At 36.4% G+C, this 14,148-nt stretch overlaps 1 long non-coding RNA gene across 2 annotated transcripts in view; it reads right to left on the bottom strand.

Moving 5' to 3' along the window:
* The window catches only part of LOC105375409 (uncharacterized), a 59,585-nt gene extending 51,136 nt beyond the window's left edge, over positions 1-8,449 (bottom strand). For both annotated transcript variants that reach the window (XR_927774.3, XR_927773.4), the window contains exon 1: positions 8,363-8,449. This is a non-coding gene — a long non-coding RNA (uncharacterized LOC105375409). The remainder of the gene's footprint in view (positions 1-8,362) is intronic.
* Between the last annotated feature and the right edge of the window lie 5,699 nt (positions 8,450-14,148).

Here is a 14,148-nt window from a genome sequence, read left to right as displayed (position 1 = left end):
AGACACTATGCTCACCTTTTATGTGCATTATTTATTTAGTTCTTACAGCAGCAAGTTATTATTCTCACTGTACCGATTTAGAAGCTTACCTAGAGTTACGCACCTAGGAAGTGTCAGAGCCAGGACAGTCTGATTTTAAAGCCTGACATTGTAACCACTCTGCTGTAGGACATACTTAATTACACAGATTCAAACTTTAAGTCTGATATTTATTCAAAGTACAGCTTTGTCCCTAAAGAGATGGACTCTAGTGCCTCAACCCTGACATGAGACTGCTTTGAATGTGAAGATGGCCTTCCTTTTTATTTATTTCTCCAAGAGGATTAGTCCCCTGTTGAAAATCTTTGAATGACTTTCCACTGGTCTTGTATAAAAATCCCAGTCTATGAGTTCCTGGGCACTTGGACTGATTTCCATTCCAGGCTGCTTTATTTACTCTGGTTCAATCACTATGGCTTTCTACAGTTCCTCCAATACTCCAAACTATTTCCTTCTTTGGGACTTTCTCCCATCTTCTACCCTCTGACTCAGACATTTTTTCTGCTTCTACTTATACCTCCAGACTCAGTTAAATTTATTTCTAAAGAGGCCTTCCTTCCTTGAGTTGGTTCTAGCCCCTCTCAGCTGCAGATCACCCATCCAAGTGATCCAATAGAAGCCCTCCCAGAAATTAGAGGGAAGCCACATCTGTCAGCCACCTGGTAACAGGTCCACTGTCTGCAAACCCAGAAGTGGACTGTCATCCCATGCCAGCTTTACAGAAAAAGTCACTGATGTTTTTGGGATCATAAAATCCTAATGCTGAAGTCAACAAACTTTGTACTCTTTCTATAACAATTAGGCATTAACTGTTATTTTACAGGAATAAATGGTTAAAAGGGGGCTAACCAGAAGGGAGAAATTATCTGTTTAAAATCTATTTCAAATTGTATACTCTCCGTAAAAATTTAGCTATTTTCATTATAAAGATAATTCATGCTTCTTATGAAAATTTTAGAAACACTGAAAAACATAAACAAGTCACTCAACTTCCAACAATTTCGAGAAAATCTTAGGTAACATATGGTGTATTTCCTTTCAGTCTTTTTGCTGGGTACTTTTTAAACATAGTTGTGATAAATTTGTGTCACATAAGATTGACTACAATTTTTAAACTTTATCTTTTATTATTTATAGAAAGAAGTATGCATGAAATTATAAAATGTTTGGGGAAAATAGAAAAAATAAATTTAAAAACTGAATATAACCACATATATCACTACCCACAGATAACTACTATTAATATTTTGGCATATGTTCTTGTAGTCTTTTTCTTGGATATTTTCTTAAGTTGTATTATAACATAGATAATGATTTTATAGCAGAGTTAACACAGCAATATTTACAGATCCTAGAATGTTGCAGAATAATTTCTGAGGGCTAATAGTTTTCTATTTCAGTTCACCTTAGTTTACACACAAAGCTCAATAGAATAAAGCACTCTATAGTACCAAGCATTATTTTGTATTATTATACTGTAAGTTCTGGGTTACATGTGCAGAACGTGCAGTTTTGTTACTAGGTGTACATGTGCCATGGTGGTTTGCTGCACCCATCAAACAGGCATCTACATTAGGTATTTCTACTAATGTTATCCCTCCCCTAGGCCCCCACCCCTCACAGGCCCCAGTGTGTGATGTTCCCCTCCCCCTGTCCATATGTTCTCATTGTTCAACTCCCATTTATGAGTGAGAACATGTGGTGTTTGGTTTTCTGATCTTGTGATAGTTTGCTGAGAATGATGGTTTCCAGCTTCATCCATGTCCCTGCAAAGGATATGAACTCATCCTTTTTTATGGCTGCATAGTATTCCATGGTGTATATGTGTTACATTTTCTTAATCCAGTCTATCACTGATGGACATTTGGGTTGGTTCCAAGTCTTTGCTATTGTGAATAGTGCCGCAATAAACATACATGTGCATGTGTCTTTATAGTAGAATGATTTATAATCCTCTGGATATATGCCCAGTAATGGGATTGCTGGGTCAAATGATATTTCTAGTTCTAGATCCTTGAGGAATCGCCACACTGTCTTCCACAATGGTTGAACTAATTTACAGTCCCACCAACAATGTAAAAGCGTTCCTATTTTTCCACAACCTCTCCAGCATCTGTTGTTTCCTGACTTTAATGATCGCCATTCTAACTGGCGTGAGATGGTATCTCATTGTAGTTTTGATTTGCATTTCTCTAATGACCAGTGATGATAAGCGTTTTTTCATAGGTCTGATGGCTGCATAAATGTCTTCTTTTGAGAAGTGTGTTCATATCATTTGACCATTTTTTGATGAGGTTGTTTGCTTTTTTCTTGTAAATTTGTTTAAGTTCTTCGTAGATTCTGGATATTAGCCCTTTGTCAGATGGATAGATTGCAAAAATAGTCTCCCATTATGTAGGTTGCCTGTTCGCTCTGATGATAGTTCCTTTTGCTGTGCAGAAGCTCTTTAGTTTAATTAGATCCCATTTGTCTATTTTGGCTTTTGTTGCCGTTGCTTTTGGTGTTTTAGACATGAAGTCTTTGATCATGCCTATGTCCTGAATGATATTGCCCAGGTTTTCTTCTAGGATTTTTATGGTCCTAGGTCTTATGTTTAAGTCTTTTATCCATCTTGAGTTGATTTTTGTATAAGGTGTAAGGAAGGGGTCCAGTTTCAGTTTTCTGCATATGGCTAGCCAGTTTTCCCAACACCATTTATTAAATAGGGAATATTTTCCCCATTGCTTGTGTGTGTCAGGTTTGTGAAATATCAGATGGTGGAAGATGTGTGGTGTTATTTCTGAGGCCTCCGTTATGTTCCATTGGTCTATATATCTGTTTTGAGTACCATTTAATTAAAACTCTTTTTATTGATTTCATGTGTGGGCTAACACACAAGATCAGGCTGTCAAATCAGGCTCACTCAGAGAGTTCTCATACAGTAACAAGCCTTATTAAAAATTTCAGGTCATGGTCAGTCAAGAGGCATGGGACACAGCAAAGTTTGGGACATCAAAGGGGTCCTTTTCCCCACATCAGACATGTATTCTGTGATAATAATAACAGAGGTTTTAGATAAGGCTTTTCAGGTTTACCTCACATAGCAGGAAAAGTGCTTAAGTTATAAACGTCTCCACGGTACACTCCAGAGAGTTCTGTAACATGTGATCTTCTTTAGGGAATCATGTGTCATAAATCTGTAAATTCTGGGCTCATTTACTAAGTAATACTTAGCAAGGACGTCCTGCCATACATCACTAATTCATATCATTAGATAAGAATCTTTCCTTTTAGCAAATATTAGTCTATTTACCTGGAGTTCCAGGTAGCAGAGATTAGACTGGGTTGATCTGCCTTTTTATTCCCCCCTCCAAGGTAATTCCTCCCACCACCCTCAAAGAAAGTGAATGGATCACAGACCAGCTGTTAAAATGCTTTCATTCTCAATGAGCAATAATGAAAAACAGTATGGAAGTTTCTCAAATTAAAAATAGAACTACCATATGATCTAGTGGTTTCATTACTGGCTATATATACAAAGGAAATGAAATCAGTATGTCAAAGAGATATCTGCTCCCATGTTTATCCTAGTATTATTCACAATAGCCAATATATGCAATCAATCTAAATGGCCATGTACAGATGAATGGATAAAGAAAATATGATATATGTATCTCCAATAAAATATCATTTCATAAAACATAATGAAATTCTGTCATTTGTGGCAACTGATAAACCTGAGGAACATTATGTTAAGTAAAATAGCAAGTCACAGAAAGATACTGTGTGATTTCACTCATATGTGGAATCTAAAAAAGTTGATTTCATAGAAGTAGACAGTAGAATAGTGGTTACCAGAGGCTGGAGAGGGAAGAGGTGAGGGCAGGACCAGGAAAGGTTGGTCAATGAGTACAAAGTTATAGTTAGACAGGAAGAATAAGTTCTGGTGTTCTCTTACACATAAGGGTGACTATATATATTTTAAGAGCCAGAACAATTATTTTGACCGTAATCACCACAAAGAAATGGTAAGTGTTTAAAGTGATGGATATGGTAATTACTCTGATTTGATCATCATATAATGTATAAATGAACTGAAACATCACATTGCACCCTATAAATATGTATAATAATGTGTCAATTACAAATTTTAAAACTAATTTAAAATTTTAAAAATATAATAAAGCAATATCACAATAAAGAGAGTCACACAAATATTTTGGTTTCCTAATGTATATAAAAGTTATGTTTACACCATACTTAGTCTATTAATTCTGTAAAGTGTATTATATCTAAAAATGTACATATTTTAATTTAAAAATATTTTATTGCTAAAAAGTGCTAATGATCATCTGAGCCTTCAGTAAGTTGTAGTTGTTTTGCTGGTGGAAGGTCTTACCTCAATGTTGATGGCTGGAAACTGATCAAGGTGGTTGTTTGCTGAAGGTTGCAGTGGCTGTGGCAATTTCTTAAAATACGACAACAGGCCGGGCGCGGTGGCTCACGCCTGTAATCCCAGCACTTTGGGAGGCCGAGGCGGGCGGATCACGAGGTCAGGAGATCGAGACCATCCTGGCTAAAACGGTGAAACCCCGTCTCTACTAAAAATACAAAAAATTAGCCGGGCGTAGTGGCGGGCGCCTGTAGTCCCAGCTACTTGGGAGGCTGAGGCAGGAGAATGGCGTGAACCCAGGAGGCGGAGCTTGCAGTGAGCCGAGATCCCGCCACTGCACTCCAGCCTGGGCGACAGAGCGAGACTCCGTCTCAAAAAAAAAAAAAAAAAAAAATACGACAACAGTGAAATTTGTCTCATCCATTGACTCTTTCTTTCATGAAGGCTTCTCTGTAGCAGGTGATGCTGTTTGATAGCATTTGACTCGCAGTAGAACTCTTTCAAAATTGGAGTCAATCTTCTCAAACACTGTTGCTCCTTTATCAACCTAAATCTATACAATATTCTAAATATTTTGTCATGTAAACAATGCTCACTGTATCCTCACTAGGATTACATTCCATTTTAAGAAACCACTCTCTCTGTTCATCCACAAGAAGCAACTCTTCATTCGTTAAATTTTACCATGAGATTGAGCAATTCAGTCATATCTTCAGGCTCCACTTCTAATTCAAGTGGCTATACCAATTTTCCTTCACAGAAGAAGTAAATGGAATTCCTGTTGCTTCACATCCTCACCAGTATTTGGTGTTTTTAGTGCTTTGAATCTGCTTACTTTTTAACTGGGTTGTTCATTTTCTTATTAATGAGTTTCAAGAGTCTGTGCATTTAGTTAATCGTTATTATAGTTTCTATTCCTAAAAGTTATATTTGACCATTTTAAAAATTGGCTGTGTAATTTTTTACAGTTTCCTATTTGCAGATATTTTCAAGCTTTTCCTTCGTTAAACTTATAGAATATAATTATTTAAAAATATTTGCTGACAATTCTTATCTATGTTGTCTTATGGCTTTATTTCTGCCACTTCTCACTCATGGTAGCTTGTTTTCTTGTGTGTTTTGTCATTTTTGACTGTGTGCTGGAAATTGTCCTTGAAACATTATTTGTGGAGAATCTTTGAGGCCTCAAATAGATACCTTCTTTCAGAAATCATTTGTATTTATATTAATGACAGAAGCTAGAGGCATTACCAGCCTATGACCAATTTAGACTAAAATTAAACTACATTCATGGCTTAATATTTTTGGAACTACTTAGGTGATGTGAATAGGACTGCACACCTTCACAATGACTAGTTTACAAATACAGATTCTACGGGAAAGATTTTATTTCCCTTCTTTGCTTAGCACAAATACAGTCACCTGGGTTATTTTGGGTGGTGTGGGTGATGAGTCCACCTCTTCTCATCCTTATCATAATAGTGTGGCTATTTGGAATCTCAGCTTAATGTGGGAGGGATCCTTTTTAACTCTCCCATTTCGGCATGCCCTGGGACTTGATGTTAAAATCAAAGTTCACAGTTGCAGAAACTGACAAAGGCTGTGGGAGACAATGGCACTGCATCTCTGGGTCCCCATTTTCTTCACAGGCTTCATAATTCCATACTCTCTTATCAGTTCTTTGATGTCTTTAAGTTTTTAAAATTATTTGATCCAGAATTTTTAGTTATGAAAGGTATTTATATTTGACACAGAATGCTTAGTTCTGTGAGGGGTTGGTCCCAACCTACCGGTTTGCTTTAGTCTCAGAAATGGAAGTGTCCCTTGTGGTCTTCTGAATCTTCTAGCCCTTCCATATCCTTTACCCTCCGTTCACCCTGAAAAGTTGTTATTGTCCAGATTTCTGACCATGGCATACTTTTTCATTTGAATATTTACTCCCTTGGTTTGCTGACAGCCACTGGCATGGGCTAACTTATCATCTCTGAGCTATACTTCCTTGTGGATGTATTTGCCTGCATCTCATTGAACTCAGTATTTTCTTAAAGCAGCTTCTCCTTTTGTCATACTCATCTATGAAACAGCACAATTTTCCCAGGCATCATTCTTAACATGTAGAGTCACATGAAGAGTTGTTCTTCATGCTGTGTAATCCATGCCTAACAGTGCTCCTCTCACAGGACTCATGTCCCCCAATCTTGTCAGCTCTCATCTGAGCCCCCACCGCCTTCTGCCTGGTTCCCTTCTCTGTAATCTTCCACCTTTGGTCTATTCTGAGCATTGCCTCCATCATTGAGCTCCCTTTTTCAGAAACCCTCCATGAATTCACATGGCTCGGTAGAAAAAACTCAGACTCCTTAACCAGCTGTCACTTCTGCCCTACATCATCTACCCTGATGCTTTCTTTCAGGTTTGTAGCCCACACCACACAGGCATCAGGCCAACTTAACAACTTGCAAATTTCTGAACACTTTGTATTTTTCCTACCTCTATACTCTTGTACATTCCATTTATGTTCTGAAAGAGTCTCCCTACTGAATCTTCCTTGAAATGTAATGCTAAATCATGCCAAATTCTAAATTTCACTTCCTCCAAAAAAGTATTTCTTCTTCATCTTAGCCTTCCTTTATTTTTTAAAACAAGTATTATTGTGTGCATTTCAGTTTCACAACATGATGTTGTGGGATACATATAGATTGTAAAATAGTTACTATAGTGAAGCAAATTAACATATTTTATCATCTCACATAGTTACTTTTTTGTGACAAGAGCAGCTAAAATCTACTTATTTTTAAAAGTTCTTAATACAATACAATTTTATTAACTATAGTCCTCGTGTTGTACATTCAATCACAGTAGTCAATGTATGAAAACAACCTAAGTGGCCATCGATGGAAAAATAGACAAAGAAAATGTGATATATACATAAACACAATGGAATATTATTCAGCCTTGAAAAATATGATATACATATACACAGTGGAATATGATTCAGCTTTAAAAATGGAGGAGAACCTACCACCTGCCAATCACCATATGAATGAAGTTGGAGTGCATTATTCTAAGTGAAATCAGCCACAGACAGAAAGAAAAAGATCACATGATCTCACTTAAATGTGGAATCTTAAAAAAAAAAAGATAGGGAGATTTAAGTCACACAATACAAAGTAGCTGCTATCTAATCTTCCTTTTCACAAAATAGAAGATTTATAGGTCAAAAGTGTTTATACATTGGCAGTTTCATATGAGTGAACCTAAAACCTAGTTCTCTGCATAAAATTAACATGTGGCTAATAAATATTCATTTAAATGTGTGAATTGACATTTTGAGAAAAATAAGCAATGCAGTCCAACAATGAAAGAAGGCCTAGCTTAATACTTTCAAATTAAGGAGTATTAAAACTGTATCTCTCTAAATGTATGAAGAATTATATATCATATGTATGCATGTGTGTATATATTTTATATATATAATATATATAATTGCCCAAGGATATTAGAAAGCACTGTGAGTACAGTGCAGAGAAGAATAAGGACAGTGAAAGTAGCAGTTACCAATGCTTGAAAGTAGCAGTTACCAATTGCTTGCAGCTCACATATGTTTCATAAAGCTGGATGTCAACTGATAACCTGTATATACACCCGAATGTACTTTGAATTAATTGACTGCAAGGGACTCTTTAAGAACAAAGTGTTATTATTGGAACAATACTATTGAAACATCATATGATAATTGGAAAATAAAGTCAGCGACTGCAATTTAACTTAAAAATCGAAGGAAATTCATTTAAGTGCTCTCTTGACATTTCACTTCTTGCTAAAATCTACTTTTAAAAGCCAAATTAACCAGATTGTCCATTAACATCGATCACATTAGCTATATAATTGCCAAAGCTCCATTTTACTTATGCCATTTGGATACAGCATAATATGAAAATAAGGACAATGTACCTTGCTGCATAACACACACTATCCACGTAACTTCTTTTACAATCTTTGAAAAGTGATCCTCTCCGCCTGAGCCTTCATTCAACTATGTGCCTACTATTTTACATTACGTAAGCATGCAACAGAGCCATTGGCAAAGACCTCTCTGATGTCATAAAAGGAGTGCTGCTGCCTTGCCTTGTGACAGTGTACCCTCTTATCTAGCCAAGAACACAGTTCATAAATAAATATGAATGAGACTTTGCCAAGATTGCCTTAATAGTACCAGTAATAAAAGATCCTGAACTGGAAAGCAAAGTCCACCTTCCTTTGCAGAATTGGCTACTTCAGTTTACCCAGTTGTCCTATGACTGAGGTCTTTATCACCAGGGAAACAAAGAATGTACTTTGAGGTCAAAGCAAATCTTCTGCAACTTTCCCTGTAAAAATAAAATGAGTACATTTTGTACCACCTGCATAACAGGAATAAACAATAACTGAAAAGATGTATACAATTTCGATACTTTACCCAATGAACTGATATACATCCAATGACAGGAGTCTTGACTTTTGACTGAATGTGTTTTAATAAATATGTGGATGTTTTTACTTTGTGTGGCATTCTGGTTTCTTTCTTTTTCATTTGCTCAAGATTGTGTGTGTTTGTTATACCATTGGTGGAGAGACTCTAGAATCTCCTCTATTTCAAACCAGAAGAACTCTCAGATGTATAGTTAATGGATATCCAGGATATTTGCAATGTCGTGTATGCTTTTAAAGCATGTTTGCTGAGGGAAAATAAAATCACTGAATCAAAGCCCTGAGTTTGATTCACAACTATTACTAACAAGGTATATAATCTTGAACAAGTTTTTTAGCCTATTTTTAAAAATCTAATTTCTTTCTATAAAATTAAAATGAGACTCTGCCCTTCTATTTTATTAATATGTCATGAGAATTAAAGTATATTTCATTAAAACCCTTTATAAATTGCAACATAGCATTCATATATCAGGTATTGCTGTTAATTTCTTTTACAGAAATGTTGCAGGACTTTTCCTTAGTTTAGCTAAAGACTGGGTTCTTGTCTGTCCCGTGGCCATAAAGATTTAGGCTCGAAACCATCGTTCTCAGCAAACTACCACAAGGACAGAAAACCAAACACCGCATGTTCTCACTCATAGGTGGGAACTAAACAATGAGAACACTGGGACACGGGGTGGGGAACCATCACACACTGGGGCCTGTCGTGGGGTAGGGGGATGGGGGACAGACAGCATTAGGAGAAATAGCTAATGTAAATAATGAGTTGATGGGTGCAGCAAAGCAACATGGCACATGTATACCTATGTAACAAACCTGCACTTTGTGCCCATGTACCCTAGAACTTAAAGTATACTAAAAAATAAATAATGTGGACTCACAGAAGGTTTAAAGGGTAAGTAAGGCTGGGTTTTATGGGGTGAAAAGGCGGGGAAGGGGGGGGTGAACACGGCCTTAAGGCCAGAGTCCCCTGCTAGAGCCCTTCCCCCCGCCATTGGAATACCAGGTTCCACACAGGAAGAGGCGGGGCCAGGCTCTTCCCCGCTGCAAAGGGTGCGAACCTCCCGAGGCTCCACCTCAGTGGGCAGGCTTGTTGGAGTTTTTCCAGGGACCCCCTTTCACCTGGCTGTCTCAGAAAGATATAATGAGAATAAAGAATACTTTGGCAACTATCAGTGTTATGCATCCCTTAATAACAGGTTGGTTTTATTTCCCAAATTACTTTCTGTTGCTGTTCTGCTACTACATTATTCAGACCATTAAAGGAAGATGGTGCATAGAGTGAACAGAGTTATGTATGGCCTGTTCTGTAATGCAAGTGGGATCTCTGTTCCCTGATTGCAGCATTATAACCTCTCATTATAGCATGCACTATAAGTCATCTTGTGCACAGGAGGCAGGATTGGATCTTCGGGTAATCTGTGAATAGTGACACTCTTTATAGCAAGGTTATTCTCTGTTTTTGGCATGATGGGGAGAGTTTCCAGAATACATGATACTACACCTTCATTAGACAGTTAGATATAATGATTACTAAAAAATCGATTTCTATTCCATGGAGCAGCTTCTAAAAGGGGCACAGTGAGGAAGATACACATCGAACAAAATAGCAGACTAAGAAGCATATATGACACCAAGCCAACTAATCATAAAATAACAATATCTTACACTTCATTAACACTTATTTGGTACCCCCCCCCCCAAAAAAAAAAAGCACAAACAAAACCCATAAACTTCTCATGTATGATTTTATTTGATCTTCACAACAATCTCAAGGAGTAAGCAGGCAAATTACGCTTACTGCCATTTCTACAGATATTCGGAGGGGTTAAATGACTTGAGCAAGTTCACAGAAATTTTCTCATTCCTCCTATAGTTCTTTTTCTAATATTTCTCACTATGCAAAAAGGCAGACAAAAAACATTCCACTAATTATGTTGCTTTATAAAATTTTTGTCTTACTATCTCAAATGAAGCTTGAGACTAGGTGAAGAGAATGTGAAGTGAAAGAAGAAAACACCAAAATAAGGTTCTTCAAACTGCATAAAATTGTGATGTATTAGGTTTACACATAGTGTTTTGAAACAGCCATCTAAGATCAGTGTGTAGCATTCATTTGAAATTTTTTGTAATTAAAATAATTATTTTTGAGACGGAGTCTTGACCTGTTGCCCAGGCTGGAGTGCAGTGGCGTAATCTTGGCTTACTGTGACCTCCACCTCCTGGGTTCAAGCGATTCTCCTGCCTCAGCCTCCTGAGTAGCTGGGAATCCAGGTGTGCACCACCACGCCCAGCTAATTTTTGTATTTTCAATAGAGACGGGGTTTCACCATGTTGGCCAAGCTGGTCTCGAACTCCTGACTCCGTGATCCACCCACCTTGGCCTCCCAGAGTGCTGGGATTACAGGTGTGAGCCACTGCACCCAGCCTAAAATAGTTTTTGAAAATAAACTTACTATAACTTTTGTGTAAGCACTTTAAGATACATTGAAATGAAAGGTATCAACTGATTTTTAGAAACTGTTTTCCAGTGATCTTCATGGCTCTGACCACATGGCCATACATCCTCAAATGTCATATACTTGTGCTGTTTTCATGCCACTCACACCAAAGAAATAAATGATAAATACATGCATGCATGGCTGAATGCCTGTTCAGAATTTAGAATTTGTCAGATAATTTTATAGGTTCTTTCATAAAAATTATATCTCTTATGGTCTGAGGAGACCTTAGGTTTTTCAAGAGAGAAAGTCATCTTCAATTAGGAGCCTGTAAATTATGGTAAACAGTAGATTGAAAATGTGAAATAGAAGAAAATTCAATGAATGAAGATAATATAATCTATAACTGCGGGACTCCCAAAATTAGACTGTGAGTTGCTGGATGGATGGTAGGTTTTTAATCAGTCTCTGTTCTTTCCTCAACTGGCAGGGAATAGGTGCTGGGTAATTATTTGTGGAATTGTTGGTTAGATGGATGGATGGATTGATGGATAAATTAAAGACAGCTCTCCTTCCAGTAAAATTTCATACAGAAACCACATTTTAAATTTATCTTGCACTTTTGAGCTCAAAATAAGCCCTGCGAGCAAGTCTTGGGCAAAACAGTCAGAAACTAACATTATTTTTTACTTTATTCTTTCTTTACCTTCCTGACTCTGACCTCTGGAAAAGCACCAAGTAACAAAGTAGCATGTGTTAATTGCAGTGTCATTTTATACAAATCCTCATGACATAGACAAGAAAGACATTATAATCAACCTCCTTTCAAAGACTAGAAAGCCAATGCTCAATGAAAGGAGTGCAGCCAAGATTTTTATCCAAGCCACCTGAATGTACATTCTGGATCTTTCCTATCAAACGTTCTCTGCAATCTCATGGTCCTAGAATCTCACTCTCAGATCTCTAGCAATTAATCCTCTAGTGGTTACATAATAAGTCATGATAGATACTCAAATTTAATGCTTCTGAGAGGTACTTAAAAATCTAGAAAAATGATAAAGCAATAAAAAAGTAACTTTAGAATCCAAAGGAGTGAAATTATAAAAGTCAAAGGACAAACTGCAGGAGTTGACATGTTTGGCCAAAACCCTACCCTCTGCTCCTCTTAAGTTACATTCTCAGAAGTACTTTGTTAATTAATTAATGTATTCATGCAGGAGGCAAAAGAGATAAAAACAAAGCATGATTTTATTTCTTTGTTAATGACACCTATAGCTGCTTATTCTGACCCTGCAGAGATGTTCCTTATAATGTTTTCAATAACACTTAATTGCAGCGGGGCTTAATACAACAAAATTACATTTCTTCAGCTATATTTTTTTTGCTTGTTTGTAAGTATATTCTGATTTGAATTAAAGTTTTGCCTGGAAAATGTGAACTATTTCAAATTTCAATATTTTCTATATCTTTTGAGAGTGTTGCCTATAAAGGGCACTTGGAAAATGTTTGAACTTATTTTTGTATTCTTTTGTTTCTTGCCTACTACTCTTTCGTTCCATTTTTCTTTACCCACACTCAAAGTTATTCTGACTTCAAACTTGAATTTGGATTGTGAAATCCTCAGGTAATACTAGGTGTTGTGTTAGTAAATAAATAATATTTATTTAGTGTAGAAGTTATCTGCACTAAAAAGGAGGTCTAAGAAATTGGCAAATATTTGAAAAGTGTGTTTTAACCAATAATATGAGACATGCTTACAGATAACTTTCTAGTCTTGCACTCATCTCTTTTGTCTTTGTAACAGGTGACATAACTAGGTGGTTGACAAAAATGACATCACAAATTGGTTGAGAAAACCAATCATCCTAGTGGCTCTTAATATTACAATATCTCTCCCAGAATCTCAGTTTCATGATTGCACACGTGGCTTGAGATCAAGCAGAGCAATTTGAGTTTCTCCTATGTCTGTGCAAATCATCCTTGTGAGTATGAACTAAATCTCAAAGCTCATTCTTAAGCATGTGCGCACGCACACACACACAAAGCAATGCAGTGACAAGTTAAGGTTTTCTTGAATTTTATTTATAAAAAATTAAACTTCTCTTCCTAGTCCTCTTTCCTCTTCAAAGGGCCATGTATGTAATTCAGTAGCTTATTAACTTGGACAGGAAAAAAATACATTATTATTTTCATTAACCTCTATATATTATATATATATAGAAAAATATATATTATTTTCATTAACCTCTAATTTAGAGGTTAATGAAACATTAACATGTCTTTCTATTATGAATGTAGGCAACAAATTTGTGTCATTTTTACCAATCAAAAAAATAAACATTTTCATATTATATCAATTTTTGGTAGGTATATTAAAATATTATTTGAATTTTTCTACCCCCAAATCATAGATGTTTTCTACCCCCAAATCATAGATGTTATGAAATCTATTTCTAGATTTTATTTATTTAATGTGCTCATTAAAAAGTACATATATTGGCCAGACGAAGTGGTTCACACCTGCAATCCTAGTACTTTGGGAGGCGGAGGTGGGCAGGTTGCTTGAACCCAGGAGTTTGGGACCAGCCTGGGCAACACAGTGAGATTCTGTCTCTAAATATATGTATATATATATATTTACAAAAATATATATATACAAATAGATATATATATATTTACAAAAAAATATATATACAAATATATATATATTTACAAAAATTAGCCAGGCTTGGTGGCATGTGACTATAGTCCTAGCTTCTTCGGAGGCTGAGGCAGGAGGATCTCTTGAGCCTGGAAGGCAGAGGCTGCAGTGAGCTGTGATCATGC

This window comes from Homo sapiens, chromosome 7, assembly GCF_000001405.40.
Source record: "Homo sapiens chromosome 7, GRCh38.p14 Primary Assembly".
NCBI classification, from domain to species: domain Eukaryota; kingdom Metazoa; phylum Chordata; class Mammalia; order Primates; family Hominidae; genus Homo; species Homo sapiens.
The sequence above is the reverse complement of the archived record's forward strand: the minus strand, read 5'-3'. Positions and strand labels throughout refer to the sequence as shown.